The 17,664-nt window shown below is 39.9% G+C and overlaps 1 protein-coding gene across 34 annotated transcripts in view; it reads right to left on the bottom strand.

Annotated features, from left to right (window-relative positions):
- MAST2 (microtubule associated serine/threonine kinase 2) overlaps positions 1-17,664 on the bottom strand; it is a 232,511-nt gene that overhangs the window by 71,563 nt on the left and 143,284 nt on the right. For 32 of the 34 annotated variants that reach the window (XM_011541059.3, XM_011541069.3, XM_011541061.3 and 29 more), the window contains one exon: positions 5,083-5,174. In XM_011541059.3, coding sequence (XP_011539361.1) covers positions 5,083-5,174 — 92 coding nt within the window. Of the gene's footprint in view, positions 1-5,082; positions 5,175-10,121; positions 10,601-17,664 lie in introns of those variants that run through there. The other 2 variants (XM_011541067.3, XM_011541068.2) reach the window with 2 other exon arrangements.

Below are 17,664 nucleotides of genomic sequence, written 5' to 3'. Positions count from 1 at the left end.
CACCACCGATCCCACAGAAATACAAACTACCATCAGAGAATACTACAAACACCTCTATGCAAATGAACTAGAAAATCTAGAAGAAATGGATAAATTCCTCGACACATACCCCCTCCCAAGACTAAACCAGGAGGAAGTTGAATCTCTTAATAGACCAATGACAGGCTCTGAAATTGAGGCACTAATTAATAGCTTACCAACCAAAAAAAGTCCAGGACCAGATGGATCCACAGCTGAATTCTACCAGAGGTACAAGAAGGAGCTGGTACTATTCCTTCTGAAACTATTCCAATCAATAGAAAAAGACGGAATCCTCCCTAACTCATTTTATGAGGCCGGCATCATCCTGATACAAAAGACTGGCAGAGACACAACAAAAAAAGAGAATTTTAGACCAATATCCCTGATAAACATCAATGCAAAAATCCTCAATAAAATACTGGCAAACTGAATCCAGCAGCACATCAAACAGCTTATCCACCATGATCAAGTGGGCTTCAACCCTGGGATGCAAGGCTGGTTCAACATACGCAAATCAATAAACGTAATCCAGCATATAAACAGAACCAAAGACAAAAACCACATGATTATCTCAATAGATGCAGAAAAGGCCTTCGACAAAATTCAACAGCACTTCATGCTAAAAACTCTCAATAAATTATGACAAACCCACAGCCAGTTTTGAATGGGCAAAAACTGGAAGCATTCCCTTTGAAAACTGACACAAGACAGGGATGCCCTCTCTCACCACTCCTATTCAACATAGTGTTGGAAGTTCTGGCCAGGGCAATCAGGCAGGAAAAAGAAATAAAGGATATTCAATTAGGAAAAGAGGAAGTCAAATTGTCCCTGTTTGCAGATGACATGATTGTATATCTAGAAAACCCCATTGTCTCAGCCCAAAATCTCCTTAAGCTGATAGGCAACTTCAGCAGTCTCAGGAAACAAAATCAATGTGCAAAAACCACAAGCATTCTTATACATCAATAACAGACAAACAGAGAGCCAAATCATGAGTGAACTCCCATTCACAATTGCTTCAAAGAGAATATAATACCAAGGAATCCAACTTACAAGGGATGTGAAGGACCTCTTCAAGGAAAACTATAAACCACTGCTCAATGAAATAAAAGAGGACACAAACAAATGGAAAAACATTCCATGCTCATGGATAGAAGAATCAATATCGTGAAAATGGCCATACTGCCCAAGGTAATTTATAGATTCAATGCCACCCCCATCAAGCTACCAGGGACTTTCTTCACAGAATTGGAAAAAACTACTTTAAAGTTCATATGGAACCAAAAAAGAGCCCGCATTGCCAAGACAATCCTAAGCCAAAAGAACAAAGCTGGAGGCATCAGGCTATCTGACTTCAAACTATACTACAAGGCTACAGTAACCAAAACAGCATGGTACTGGTACCAAAACAGAGATATCGACCAATGGAACAGAACAGAGCCCTCAGAAATAATACCACACATCTACAACCATCTGATCTTTGACAAACCTGACAAAAACAAGAAATGGGGAAAAGATTCCCTATTTAACAAATGGTGCTGGGAAAACTGGCTAGCCATATGTAGAAAGCTGAAACTGGATCCCTTCCTTACACCGTATACAAAAATTAATTCAAGATGGATTAAAGACTTAAATGTTAGACCTAAAACCATAAAAACCCTAGAAGAAAACCTAGGCAATACCATTCAGGACATAGGCATGAGCAAGGACTTCATGTCTAAAAGCAATGGCAACAAAAGCCAAAATTGACAAATGGGATCTAATTAAACTAAAGAGCTTCTGCACAGAAAAAGAAATCACCATCAGAGTGAACAGGCAACCTATAGAATGGGAGAAAATTTTTGCAATCTACTCATCTGACAAAGGGTTAATATCCAGAATCTACAAAGAACTCAAACAAATTTACAAGAAAAAAACAAACAACCCCATCACAAAGTGGGCGAAGGATATGAACAGACACTTCTCAAAAGAAGACATTTATGCAGCCAACAGACACATGAAAAAATGCTCATCATCACTGGCCATCAGAGAAATGCAAATCAAAACCACAATGAGATATCATCTTGCACCAGTTAGAATGGCGATCATTAAAAAGTCAGGAAACAACAGGTGCTGGAGAGGATGTGGAGAAATAGGAACACTTTTACACTGTTGGTGGGACTGTAAACTAGTTCAACCATTGTGGAAGTCAGTGTGGCGATTCCTCAGGGATCTAGAACTAGAAATACCATTTGACCCAGCCATCCCATTACTGGGTATATACCCAAAGGACTATAAATCATGCTGCTATAAAGACACATGTACTTGTATGTTTATTGCGGCATGACTCACAATAGCAAAGGCTTGGAACCAACCCAAATGTCCAACAATGATAGACTGGATTAAGAAAATGTGGCACATATACACCATGGAATACTATGCAGCCATAAAAAATGATGAGTTCATGTCCTTTGTAGGGACATGGATGAAGCTGGAAACCATCATTCTCAGCAAACTATCGCAAGGACAAAAAACCAAACACCGAATGTTCTCACTCATAGGTGGGAACTGAACAATGAGAACACTGGACACAGGAAGGGGAACATCACACACCGGGGCCTGTTGTGGGGTGGGGGGATGGGGGAGGGATAGCATTAGGAGATATACCTAATGTAAATGACGAGTTAATGGGTGCAGCACACCAACATGGCACATCTATACATATGTAACAAACCTGTAAGTTGTGCACATGTACCCTAGAACTTAAAGTATAATAAAATTATCTATAAAAAAAAAGATTTGAGGATATAATCTAATGCCATGTGGGATCTGCGTGGAACAATCAGTGCTGCCTGTCTCAACAGCTGGATAAGTATAGTCTACAGTCACAAACTGGGCTTTTATGTCCATTCTTGCCCCCTAGATTTTCTGCAGTGATTTGCTAAGAGATAATACAGATGCTAACATTTGTAAAGTACTAAGCATGTTACACACATTAACTCAAAGCTGGAGTCTACAGATCCAGGCAGGCTGAAAAGGCCAGGTGGTGTTCTCAATCAAATCCACTTGAGTAGGAAGATTTAGTTCTAAATGCTAACTGTGGAGAATCTAAATAGAGAGATAATCATCTAGAGAAGAGCAGCCAGTAGTAACTACTGCTCAGTACTCACATTAGTTGTGCAACTATATACAAGGTCTAGACATGTTAAATTTATTCCTATATGATAAAAAGGTCAGGTCAGATAGATGTATGCTGAGTTTCTCTAAAAATCTAGGATGTGCTGTTTGAGCTAATCCAGCTAATTTCAGTCAATTTTTTTAGAGGAAAGCACCTAAGCACAATGAGAGCTTTGCTTTAAAGGTCAAGTATGTCTCCAGTTCCCTGGGATCCCTGTTCTCTTGGTGGTATCTTCTAAAGTGACAGCTTGTGATTGAGAGATTTACTGATTCTTGGAAAGGGGCCATCATCACACTAAAAGGCTGGCTTCTAGGCTAAGAGAATCTGAGCCAAAGAAGGTGAGATCCTTCTCCCAAGGACAAAGTTCAGTTTCAGAATCACCAGACTCTCAGGACCCTCAAATACTCCACATGTACCCTCACTTTCTCCCTCCAAAGACAGTAAACTGTGAGCAAGGAAACAAATTCATGGAGAATATACACATCTTACTCAGCTTGATGCTGACCCATTTCACTGCTTTGATATCCTGCTTTAACGCCCAAAGACAGACAAGGTCCAGGCTTAGGACAACAGTGACCATGGCTTTCTATGCCCAGGCAGCAAGCTCTGAACAGTTCTAAGTCTGTCAATTGCCACTAACTGTAGGTTTAGATCTTCCATTATAAAGAGTGTAGCAATGAACTGCACAGAAGTGCTGCAGCCCTTTCAGCAAAGCTGAGTCCCGTGGCCTGGTTCCCCTGGGATACAAGAATATACCTTCTACACAGAAGCACATGGCTGACTCCGATGAGGTCTTTCTTCTGCCCCTCTCTGGGAAGGACAATGTGCCAGAATCAATGGAAGCCTCGTATTTCTTTTCTTTTCTTTTTTTCTTTTTGAGATGGGGTCTCATTCTGTTGCTGCCCAGGCTGGAGTGCAGTGGTATGATCTCAACCTCCATGGGCTCAGGTGATCAGGCGATGCTCCCACCTCAGCCTCCCAAGTAGCTGGAACTACATGTGTACACCACCATGTCCAGCTAAGTTGTGTATTTTTTGTAGAGACGGGGTTTTGCCATGTTGCCCAGGCTGGTCTCAAACTCCTAAGCTCAAGCAATTGGCCCATCTCAGCTTCCCAAAGTGCTGGGATTACAGGCGGGAGCCACTGTGCCCAGCTGCCTCATAATTTTTATCTATTCTTCAGAGCCATGTAAATCAGTCCTTATACTGTCGGGAAGAGCCCATATTCCAGGGCTAGAGCAGCCTGAATCCATGAGGTCATTTGCTTTAATTCCAGTATGTAATATCAGTATCATTATGAAACAAATACTCCAACCCGGGTGCAGTGGCTCACACCTATAATCCCAGTACTTTGGAGGATGAGGTGGGAGGATCACTCGAGCCTAGGATTTCAAGACCAGCCTGGGCAACATAGAGAGACCTCGTTTCTATTTAAAAACAAACAAACAAACACATACTCCTCTTGCTTTTGTTATCTCCTAATCTAAGAGCAGGAAGGTTAACAGGAGTCCCATTAGACGAAAAACCCTCTCTGTGAGCCCTAATCCTTGGGCACGGTAGTACAAAATATTAGTGGACTCCTCATCAAATGACCCAAGACGAATGGAGCTGTAACACACTAGAACACACTAGAACAGAGGCCATAAACCCAGGACACATACCTGGCCCCAAGATATGTACAAGACTAAAAGGAATGTTGAGAGAACAAGGTAAGAAACAACTAAGAGTCAAAAGCAGGCTAACTCATTCTCGTACAGAAAGCAAGCCCATGAGCTCTGTCTGCTTCAGTCAGCCAAGTAAAGTGACAATGTAATATACGGAACTGCACAACATGAGAAGTAGGAAAGAAATTGGGCATCTGTGGCCACTCTTTCATTCAACCTTTCTTAACCTTCAAGCACTCACCTGTGTGGCCATGGAGTGGTGAGTGTGGCCGTGGTAGTGTAGGTGATGTGCTAGAGGTCACAATCAAGCTCTTGCGGTTACTTGTCCGACAACTGCAATGAAAACAAAATATGAATTATAATAGGGCCACACCATGGGCCCAGAGACCTTGAGTGGTTTTTAAGGAACTAAAGAGGGACACCATTCCACGGGCCGCACAGTATACTTCTTTAAACTGAACTGGGTCAGCAATTACACTCGGCACCAGTTAGATTCCATAAAGCACTGTGTTCCTCCTTGGAATAACTTTTTTCACTGCCTTGACTTTCATCTTGTATTGCCACTGTGCTTTTCCAATGTTTAGTTTTATTTCCCAAGCAAACACAAGGAGCTCCCTACGGGCAAAAACCATGTTTTAAACAGTATCTAATGAAGAATGACCACTGCAAATTGATTTACAAAATAAAAAGCACAAGTCAAAATATTCTCATATTCTCTAAGAACCCCCCAAAACTATTAATCTATGAAATTATTATTTTTAGAACGTTTAGTCCGTGAATTAAGTAATATTCTCATTTCAGAATAAATGTCAGAACAGCCCTGGGTTTCTTCTATAAACGGGCTTTCCACTACATGTTAATGTCTGAAGCTTTTTCTTCTGGTTGGAGAAAACCAGATGGTGATGAAAAGCCATTTCATGCAACATCTATTACTGAAAAGTCTATATCAATTTATTTGAAAGTCAGTCTATCTTTTGAAGGCATTAGGGAAGTTTGCCATTTATATTCATCCAAATATTTATTGAACACCTACTACACACTAGGCAGTGTCTTAGGAGGGAAGCAGTAGGGAACAAAAGAACAGTCTCTATCCTCATAACTGGAGTGAACAGTGCTGTGGGAAAAGGAAGAGGAAGAAAGAACAGAAAGAGGGAGAGAGAGGGAGAGGGGGAGAGGGGGATAGAGGGAGAGAGAGAGAGAGGGAGGGAGGGAGAGGGAGAAAAGGAGAAAGGAAATAAGAGACTGGTGTGGGAGTGCTAACTAGGGAAGTGAAGTCTGATGAGAGAGCTGAATGATATGAAGGACTCAGACAAAAGTAGAGCTGAGAGGCAGAGAGAAAAGTAAAGGTAAAGGCACTGAGACAAGAACAAATTTGGGATGTTCAAGAAATAGCAAAGAAGTCAAGAGTGGATGACAGGAGGGGAGAATGACAGAAAAAGAAGTAGGTTATAGAAGCTATGGGGAAGGCCACAGCCAGACTCTGTAGGGCTGATGGAAGGAATGAGATCAATCTCAAGAAAGAGATTATCATTAGAAATGATAACCATTTTCCCCTAAGAAACCATCAGGAGGAATCCAATCATGCCCATACCCCTAACTACCTCAGTCACCATGGAATGCCTTCCACTCTCTAACCTGACAGTCTCCCACTACTCTGAACCTTTGAGAAAAGCTTATACTTTGCCTCCTTGAACTCAGTATGTCATCAGCAAACTGCCTATATCCCCAATTTCTCTTCTGAGTGTCTGCTTTAAATTCTAGCTCCAAATGAAACGTTGCTACCTCCCAAGGACACCAAAGTCCTGGCGAAATCCCAACCCTTTACAACCAAGCTTCCCATCTATTTTGCAACTGCACCTGGGAACTTAGAGTGACTGAAGAAAAACCCAGAATCATGCTGGCTGATGTGTCTTTATATTCACAGTGACAAACATCAAGTGGGGCCTCATTACTGCCTGACAATCTTAGCACATTTACCAGAGTAATGTGTTTGCTCACTCTCCAAGACAACTAATTCACATTTTCTCCTTAAACCTCCAATACCCCTTTTCCTTCCTCAAATCTGTACAGAAAATAAAAATTAAAAAAAAATAGCTGGGCATGTTGGCACATGCCTACAGTCCTAGCTACTTGGGTGACTGAGGCAGGAGGACTGCTTGACTCCAGGGGTTCATGGCTACAGTGAGCCAATGATTGTGCCAGAAAAAGAAGAACACGTACAGTTGGGCCAATTAGAAAACAAATAACATATTTAAACCCAATCATACCAATAATCATATTAAATATAAATGTTCTAAGTACACAGCCAGTTAAGGCAGAGATTGTCAGACTGGATAAAATAGCAGGATCCACTTATATGCTGTTATTTGTGAAAGCCCGAAACTACAAACCACCTAAAATATGCACCAACAGATGAGTGACAAACAAATCACAGTATATCCATATAATGGAATTCTACTCAGCAATAACAAGGAATGAATAATTGATTCACACAATGGATGAATCTCACAAATAATTATGCTGAAAGCAAGATGCCAGACAAAAAAGAGTATGTTGTATGCTTTCATGGATGAGTTGAACAATTTGCCTCTCAGGTGTATTCAATCAAAAAATTTGTCCCTGGATATTTATACTAAAATATACTAAAAACAAAAGTCAAACATAATGTTACTTAACAGGAGACTGTTCTGACACATGCGCTAAAAGGGAATTGAAAACATTATTTCCAAGTCAATCATCCCACATAAATTCGACCAAATACGAGTCCAACACATTGTGACGAATTCCTCTCATGGTCTTGCACTTTGCTTTGCATTTATTTCAATAGCACTAGATGTTTTGGGTATGTATGCCAAGAGATGATATGAACTGTGCTCAACTAGGCACTGCAAAATAGGTGGCAAGGTTTGGGCAGAACAGTCACCAAAAATTTCCAAATAACCAATAGCTGGCTGATGGGTGTATCCACCATACCAAAAGCCCATTATTTCTCTCTCCAGAGCATGGCTATAGTGACACTTGATTTCGTGGCTAAAACAGGACTCACTGATTTGCAAGTAATGACCTAAACCACTAAGCTGTATCGGATGTAGTTCAAAGTAATGCTTGCATACTTTGTGACAGAAATTGTGGACACTGACCATAGTATGGACTGAAATTCCAGTAACAGCAGTAGTTGCTCTCTCTGTGACTTCCATAGACCATAACAAGGGAAGATGAAGCCACTTATTCAGGGAAATGCTGGATTTTGTGAAAAAATAATCCTTTCAAAGACAGACTCATGCTGATTGGCAATTGCAGTGAACAAATTTCCATGAATAGCTGTCTTTATTATACTGGCATTGTACCACCCACAGTAAGGGTTGGTGATATGAGGAACATTTAGGAGCCATAGATAACAAATTACACTCCTTCAAGAAGTCAATGATTGGCAGGTTTGAAGTGTTGACAATAGGTTGCAATGTATCTTGAAATAAACATCTATCCATTGGGAGAGGTGAAATAAAAATTTTCTCAAAAGTAGAACCACTAAAAAAATAAAATTTGAATTTGACCCACCACAATTAAGAAATTTCACTGGTGGGACTCACAAGGACAAATTGTTTAGTTGATCCAATTCCATTTATATAAAATTATAGAAAATGCTAACTAATCTATAGTGACAGACTGCAGATTAGTAGTTGCCCAATGAGAAGCAAGGAATGGATTATAGATAGTCATGAGGAAACTTCTGAGAGTTATAGATCTGTTCATTATCTTCATGTTCATTATCACAGTCATACAATCTATTATATTCCAATCATACCTCAATAAAACTATACAAAAATTTTAAAATGTAAGCAACATCATGTCCCTCTTCCATTTAAAATTCTCCTTGTCTCACTGAGAGAAAAAGCCAGTTCTGATGATGGCCTACAAGGCATTATATGGTCTGGATTCTCCATGACCTCTCTCCCTCCTGCTCACTCTCCAGCCACACCGGCCTCCTCGCCTTTCTTAGAAAATGCCAAGCGAGCCACCCATCTCAGGGCCTTTACAATTGGGATTTCCTTTGCCTATGTTTCTCCCAGGTTGCCTCAAGGCTTGCTCCCCTCTTCCTTCAGGTCTTTGCTCAAGTACAATCTTCTGGGTGAATTTTCCCCGATCATTCTATTTAAAATTGCAAACCCTCCCAAACTCTCTATCCCCCTTTCTTGATATATTTTTCTCCTAGCACTTATCATCATCTAACACACTACAGTCAGCATGTGGGTTCCACATCCATGGATTCAACCAACTATGGGTGGAAAATATTTTTTAAAACTTTTAAAATAATATAAATTTTAAAAATATAGTATAACAGCTATTTGCAGGGATTTGCTTTGTATTAGATATTATAAATAATCTAGAGATGATTTAAAGTATACAGGAAGATGTGTATAGGTTATATGCGAATATTATGTATGCTCTTTTATATAAGAGACTTGGGCATCTGCAGATTTTGGTATCCGTGTGGGTCCTGGAACTAATCCCCAATATATATATGATGGTATATATTTTGCACATTCATTTTGTTGTCTCTCTTCTCATCAGAAATTAAACTGTATGAGGGCAGGGGCTTTTGTATGCTTTGTGTACTGCTGCACTCCTCAATACCTAGAACGCTGCCTGGCACACAGTAGGCTCTCAATAAGTATTTGTTAAATGAATGGATGAGTATGATTTGTTACAAGGATTAAAATAAAGAAGATACATGTATACCTGGCCTATGAAAGGTAAATCAAACTGTTATATCTAAATCCTTGTGTCTGAAAGTGAAAATGTCTTGAAACTTCAGGGACGGATAATTAATTCCAGCTTCATTTGCCTTAACCTTATTTAAAATTTAAAATAAAAGCCAAAACACTAAAGATCGTATTTCCAGGCCACATGCCTTTTTATAAAGGTACACATAATCTCACTTGGCAAATCTTTAACAGCTGCCAGGGGAAAAAAAGGTCAGACACTCTGCTACAGATACCATGACTCAGCTGAGATCCACAACAAGGAACTGGCTAATTTTTCCATTTCAACAGGCTCTGGCCATTTCCCCAGGATCCTAAGAAGATAAAGGGCAAGTCTTAATTCTTTCATTCCAGTAAGATGAAGTACTGGATATCTGCAGAGTTGGGTACACTAACTCTCAGCGGACGGGTGGTAGCCTGGAAGCCCCCGGAGCTACCTCATGCAAAGACTGGTGTTAAATCATCCCAGTCACTTGGCTACTTGGAGTGAGACTTGGCATTTCAATTTCTTACATACCTCGCCATGGTCATCTCAGTCAACAGCAAGAACAAGGGCTAAGGCATATCGTGCATTCTCTGTGACAATGTTGAATTGTAACCACATTTGGAGAGTAGTAGATCGTTTCTAGCCTTCAAAAACCCCTCCCTCCAGCAACTAGCAGGCACTCGGAAAATCTGACCCCTGCAAGAGCTGCTGTAAATTTACTTAGGAAGCCTGCTTCCCACTGTGAAGCAACAAAGGGTATGGAATAAGATGTCTGGTTGCAGATCCCTTAGGTCTCTCCAGTCTCCAAATCTCAGAGGTCTAGCTGCTCCTAGGAACTTGAGCACTCCGTGACTGGATAGTACTTGGCAGGCACCTTTTAGAATTTAGAATGAGGAAAAGATCACTTCTGTTTCAGTAAGTGTAAACAATATAAAGAAGAATGTGGAGCTGGTTACAGTCAAGCACTTCCAGATGCTATAATATTTCAGAGTAACAACCAAGATGTCCTGGTTAAGATGGGGAAGTGAGAGTGGGAAAAAAATACATATTCCCTCCCCAATAAAGGGAGATATTATTACGTATCCATTATATTATTATTGATATATTATTTATTGCTTACCTGGATTTCAATACCCTCCTAACTAGTCTCTCTGGTTTACTCTTGTCTTCTACCCTAATCTGTTCTTAATATGAGCAAGCCACAGTGATTCTTTTAAAGCACACATCTGATTATTTCATTCCTCTGCTCAAAACCTTCCACAGGCTGCTAATTTTGCACAGGCACTTCTAGCTACTAGGACCAGCGTTAACTGTTCCCTTTACTTGCAATGTCCTTCCTTCAACTACACAATGGCAAAATCCCTCACTCCTTCAAGGCTTTATTCTAATGTCACCTTCCCAATTTTCTGTTTTCCTGAATCCCCTTTGGTCTACCTTTTTTCCCAATAGCATTTGTCATCTTCTAACATACTACATAAACTATGTTTACTGTCTGTTTCTTCTTTTCTAGAGTGAGCTCTAAGAGGTATCCCAATCACCTAGAAATAGTACACAGGGCATAGGAGGTTTTCGACAAGTGTTTATTGAACAAATGAATGTATTTCCACAGAAGCAGGTAGTCAGAATTCCCCGCAAGGGCAGCAGGCATCAGAGGAACTAGGAGAAAAGTCTTTGCTCTAAGGTAAAGTTTTCCTCCAAGTCTGATGGCAACTCTCCTTGAATTAATCAAGTTTTTTTTTTTAACCTCTGCTCTATTGGTTTAGAAATTACATATTGTTTTGTTTTTTTCTGTCCTAAAGTAGTTGTTATTATTCAAGGTTTAATAGGTGTTCTTGTCTCAACAATGTCTAAAGTTAACCAGCACCTCAACTCTCTTTCTGAACAAAATTAAAAGATCCTAGATCGCTTTTAACTCCAATCCTCCCACTCCCTTTCAACTTACCTATTATTACAATCTATTATTTCAGGTCTATCTTACTTTTACATTGCCAAATTAGTAATTATTATTTTATACAATAATTGCTTGCTTAGATTTACTCATGTATTTTCTAATTTCACTGCTTAACATTCCCTCTTGGGATCTCATGTATTTCTTCTTTGTTTCTGAAATATATCCTGTAGTAATTATTTCAGAGAGGATCTGATAGTAATAAATCTTCTCTATAGATTTTGTTCTCTTGGTTTTTGATGGTCTGAAAATGGCTTTTTTTGGTCACTCACTTCCACTGCTAATTTAGCAAGTATGGATAATTCTAGTGTCTTGTTCAGAGTAACTTTTTTCTCAATACTTTAAAAATATTATTCTGTAGTCTTATGGCTCCTGTTATTGCTGTTGAAAAGCTTACTCTTAGCATAAGTGCTGTTCCTTTGTACTTAATTTTTCTTTTTCTGTCTGGTTGCTTTATTTTAACCATTAACTTATTTTTTTAGATATATTTCCAACAATATAAAATTCACCCTTTTAAAATGTACAACTCATTCATTTTTAGTATATTCACAAGGCTGTGCAAGCACTGCCACTATCTAATTCCAGAATATTTTCATTGCCAAAAAGAAACCTTGTACCCATTAGCAGTCATTCTCCATCCCATTCTCCCCACAACCAACCACCAACGTACTGTCTCTATGGATTCACTGTCTCTGTGGACTCTACGTATTCTGGACATTTCACAGAAACTGAATCATACATTATGTAGTCTTTGGCTTCTTTTACTCAGCATGTTTTCATGCATGTTGTGGCATGCATAAATTCTCCATGCCACAATTGTTAATCCTTTCATAAAATGACAAGGTATTTGGGTTGTTACTACTTTTTGGTTATCATAGATGCTGCTGCTGTGAACATTTGTTTACAAGTTTTTGCATGAACATATATTTTCAATTTTCTTGAGTGAACTTTCTTGCTGAGCTCTTTTACTTTAGTGAATTCTTGAGGGTTCTTTAAGATATTCTCTTTGTTTTCATGGCTCTGCAGTACTGCAATGTATCTAGATGGGGATTTATTTTTATTTATTATAGTGGGGACTCACCATGCTTCAAGATGTTCCTTGTTTGTTTCTAATCAGTTCTGGAAGGTCTCAGTCATTATCTCTATGAATACTGCCTCTTCCCATTTCTCCATATTCTGTTGGACCATCTGATCATATCTTCTGTATTTCTTAGCTTTCATTCATAGTTTATATCTTCCCATTTCTGTCTTGCACTCTTGATAAAAATTTTACTTTGTCCACAGCTCTATTATTTAACACGACTGTTGCATTTTCAATTTCAACAACACAATACATATATTTTATTCCTCGAATTCTAATTAGCTTTTTGTCCAAATATATTTGGTCTTTTTTTCTCTTGTTTCTGTTTCCTTCTTTTATATTCTTTTTTGTTTGTTTTGAGACAGGGGATCACTCTGTCACCCAGGTTGGAGTGCAGTGGCTCAATCTCCACTCACTGTTGCCTCTATTTCCTGGGCTCAGGTGATCCTCCCACCTCAGCCTCCAGGGTAGCTGGGGCCACAGGCCCATGCTACCATGCCTGACTAAGTTTTGTATTTTTTGTAGAGACAGGGTTTTACCATATTGTCTGGGATGGTCTTGAACTCCTGGGCTCAAGTGATCCGCCCGTCTTGTCCTCCCAAACTGCTGGGATTACAGGCATAAGCCATCATGTCCAGCCTCCTTCTTTTATATTCTTAATAATTTTAAATATACTAATCTTACAGTCTTAATCTCTAATGTTACTTTGTTTTTCTTTTTGAGACAGGTTCTCACTCTGTCATCCAGGCTAGGGTGCAATGGCACAATCACAGTTCACTGCAGCCTTGACCTCCCTGACACAAGCAATCCTCACCTCAGCCTCCCAAGTAGCTGAGAAAACAAGCATGCACCACCATGCCCAGCTAATTAAAAAAAAAAAAATTTAGTAGAGATGAGACTTCACTATGTTGTTCAGGCTGGTCTTGAACTCCCGGGCTCAAGCGATCCTCCCACCTCAGCCTCCTAAAGTGCTGGGATTACAGGCATGAGCCACCACACTCAGCTAACATTCGTATTTTTTTGTAGAGACAGGGTTTGACCATGTTGCCCAGGCTGGTTTCGAACTCCTGGGCTCAAGCAGTCCACTCGCCTCAGCCATCCAAAGTATTAAGATGAAAGTTGTGAGCCACTGTGCCCACCCTCTAATGCTACTTTCTGAAGTTCCAAACTGTTTCTTTTATCTATTGATTTTCACTTAGGGGAGATTGGTTGGTTGGTTTGTAATTTTGTACTACAAACTTACCTTCAGTGAAGCTGCATTTATGAGAATCCTATGATACCTGATTTGAGGGTATGTCACTTAATAGAAGTGTTAAGTTTGTTTCTGACAGATGAGCCAGAGTTATTACCAGCCCAGAACCAGCTTCTAGACCACACAAAGAGTATAAACTCCAACCCCCAATTTCAGTTAAGTGAAGGCTTACAGGTAGAAATTTTCAAGGGAGACGTCTTTCCTTTATTAAAAGCCCTATTTAAAATCCAGATGAGATTAAGAAAGTTCTTTTTATCTGTACATGCCAGTGGTTTTCCTAGTCCATTCCTGCACTGAGGGTGAAGTCTTTTGAGGGTCCTAATTGTATGTAGGGGGTGTCCATTCTAATTGCTTACACTAAACAAGCCAAGACCTCATCTTTTTTCCCCTCAAGGTTATTGAGACTAGCACATCTCCTCCCTGACCCCATTTTTGGAAGCTTCAAAGCTGGCTCCCACTGTTATTATTATTATTTTTTAGGTTCAGGGGTACATATTCAGGTACATAGGTAAACTCCTGACACAGGGGTTTGTTGTATAGGTTGTTTCATCACCCAGATATTAAGCCTAGCACCCAATAGTTACTTTTCCTGCTCCTCTCCCTCCTCTCTCTCTCCACCCCCAAGTAGACCTCAATGTCTGTTGTTTTCCCTTCTTTGTGTTCATGAGTTATCTTCATTCAGCTCCCACTTATAAGTAAGAACATGCGGTATTTGGTTTCCTGTTCCTGGGTTAGTTTACTTAGGATCGTAGCCTCCAGCTCCATCCATGTTCTCGCAAAAGACATGATCTTGTTCTTTATGGCTGCATAACATTCCATGGTATATATGTACCACATTTTCTTTATCCCATCTATCATTAATGGGCATTTAGGTTGATTCCATGTCTTTGCTAATGTGAATAGTGCTATAATGAACATTCGTGTGCATGTGTCTTTATGGCAGAATGATTTATATTCCTCTGGGTATATACCTAGTAATGAAATTGCTGGGTCAAATGGTACTTCTGCTTTTAGCTCTTTGAGGAATCACCATACTGCTTTCCACAATGGTTGAACTAAATTACACTCCCACCAACAGTGTGTAAGTGTTCCCTTTCCTCCACAACCTTGCCAGCATCTGTTATTTTTTTACTTTTAACAACAGCCATTCTGACTGGTGTGAAATGATAGATCTCATTGTGGTTTTGATTTGCAGTTCTCTAATGCTCGGTGATATTGAGCTTTTTTTCTTATGCTTGTTGGTCGCATGTATGCCTTCTTTTGAAAAGTATCTGTTCACGTCCTTTGCCCACTTTTTAATGGGGTTGTTTTTCTCCTGTAAATTTGTTTAAGTTCCTTATAGATGCTGAATATTAGACCTTTGTCAGATGCAGATTGCAAATATTTTTTCCTATTCTGTAGGTTGTCTGTTTACTCTGTTGATAGTTTCTTTTGTTGTGCAGAACCTCTTAAGTTTAATTAAACTTGTCCATTTTTGCTTTTGTTGCAATCGCTTTTGGTGTCTTTGTCATGAAATCTGCCCATTCCTGTGTCCAGGATGGTACTGCTTAGGTTGTCTTCCAGGGTTTTCATAGTTTTACGTTTAAGTCTTTAACGCATCTTGAGTTGATTTTTGTATATGATGTAAAGGAGGGGTACTATGTAGCTTCAGTCTTCTGCTTATGGCTAGCCAGTTATCCCAGAACCACTTACTGAATAGGGAGTCTTTTCCCCATTGCTTGTTTTTGTCAGCTTTGTCAAAGATCAGGTTATCATAGGTGTGTGGCCTACGATTTTAAAACCCCTGATTTTTAAAATAGGCTCTCTGTTCTGTTCTATTGGTTTATGTCCCTGTTTTTGTACCAGCACCATGCTGTTTTAATTACTGTAGCCCTGTAGTATAGTTTGAAGTCAGCTTTGTTCTCTTTGCTTAGGATTGCCTTGGCGATTTGGGCTCTTTTCTTGTTCCATATGACTTTTTTTTTTTTTTTTTTTTTTTTTTTGAGATGGAGTCTCACTCTGTCGCCCAGGCTGGAATGGAGTGGCATGATCTCAGTCCACTCCAATCTTCACCTCCCAGGTTCAAGCAATTCTCCTGCCTCAGCCTCCCAGGTAGCTGAGACTACAGACACACACCACCACATGCAGCTAATTTTTTGTATTTTTACTAGAGATGGGGTTTCACCATATTAGCCAGGCTGGTCTTGAACTCCTGACCTCATGATCCACCCGCCTTGGCCTCCCAAAGTGCTGGGATTACAGGCGTGAGCCACCGCACCCGGCCCGGTTCCATATAATTTTTTAAATAATTTTTCTAGTTCTGTGAAGAATACTCTTGGTAGTTTGATAGAAATAGCATTCAATCTATAAATTGCTTCAGGCAATATGATCATTTTAATGATATTGATTCTTCCTATCCATGAGCATGGTATGTTTTTCCATTTGTTTGTGTCCTCTCCGATTTCTTTGAGCAGTGTTTTGCAATTCTCATTGTAGAGATCTTTCACGTCTCTGGTTAGCTGTATTCCTAGGTATTTTATTCTTTTTGTGGCAATTGTAAATGGGACTGCCTTCCTGATTTGGCTCTCTCCCTGGCTGCTGTTGGCGGATAGGAATGCTAGTGCTTTCTGCTAGTGATTGATTTTGTATCCTGAAACTTTGCTGAAGTTGTTTATCAGCTTAAGAAGCTTTTGGGGCCAGGCGCAGTGGCTCATGCCTGTAATCCCAGCACTTTGGGAAGCCAGGGCAGGTGGATCACGAGGTCAGCAAATCAAGACCATCCTGGCTAACATGATGAAACCCTGTCTCTACTAAAAATACAAAAAATTAGCCGGGTGTGGTGGCGGGCAACTGTAGTCCCAGCTACTCGGGAGGCTGAGGCAGAAGAATAGCATGAACCTGGGAGGTGGAGCTTGCAGTGGGCCGAGATGGGCCCTCTACACTCCAGCTTGGGCGACAGAGCGAGACTCCGTCTCAAAAAAATAAAAGAAGCTTTTGGGCTGAGACTATCAGGTGTTCTACATATAGAATCATGTCATCTGCAAACAAGGGTAGTTTGACTTCCTCTCTTTCTATTTGGGTACCCTTTATTTCTTTCTCTTGCCTACTGCTCTGGCTAGCACTTCTACTCTTATTGATTAGGTGTTGTTTTCTCTCTCTGATTTGGGTCCCTCAGGGTTTTCCTCATGTTCTGCTGAAATCAGCTATGCATTTAAAACAACAATGATAATATCTAACAATTACTAAGAGCTCACTGGGCTTGGTTTAAAGCTAACTTGTCCAACTGGCAGCCCACAGGCCACATGCAGTCCAGGACAGCTTTGAATGTGGCTCAATACAAATTTGGAAATTTTCTTAAAACATTATGAGGTGTTTGGGTTTTTTTTTTTTTTTTTTTTTTTTTAAAGCTCATCAGCTATCATTAGTGTATTCTGTGTGTGGCCCAAGACAATTCTTCCTATGTGGCAGAGGGAAGCCAAAAGATTGGCTTGTAAAACTAACAACCCTGGTTTAAAGCATTACATGTAGTATCTCACACCCTATGAAGCAGCGACTATTATTATCCCTTTATTTGGACAAGGAACTGAAGGCTAAGAAATGCTACATAGCTTTCCCTAAGTCAAGATAAAATAATAACATTATTTGAAGGCCTAATCTAACTTGAATTTTCTTTGCCCTCGGACTTTCTTAGTGTGGTGCTTCATCCTCAAATGATCTAAAAGTCAAGTATCCAGAAAATCAAGGGCATTTTATGTGGCCTAACTTCATGGACGAGAGGACAGCAATAAGTACCCTAGGGACTGGTGCAAAACTC

This window comes from Homo sapiens, chromosome 1 (assembly GCF_000001405.40).
Source record: "Homo sapiens chromosome 1, GRCh38.p14 Primary Assembly".
NCBI classification, from domain to species: domain Eukaryota; kingdom Metazoa; phylum Chordata; class Mammalia; order Primates; family Hominidae; genus Homo; species Homo sapiens.
Note: the sequence above shows the minus strand (reverse complement) of the source record. Positions and strands in the feature narration are given on the sequence as shown.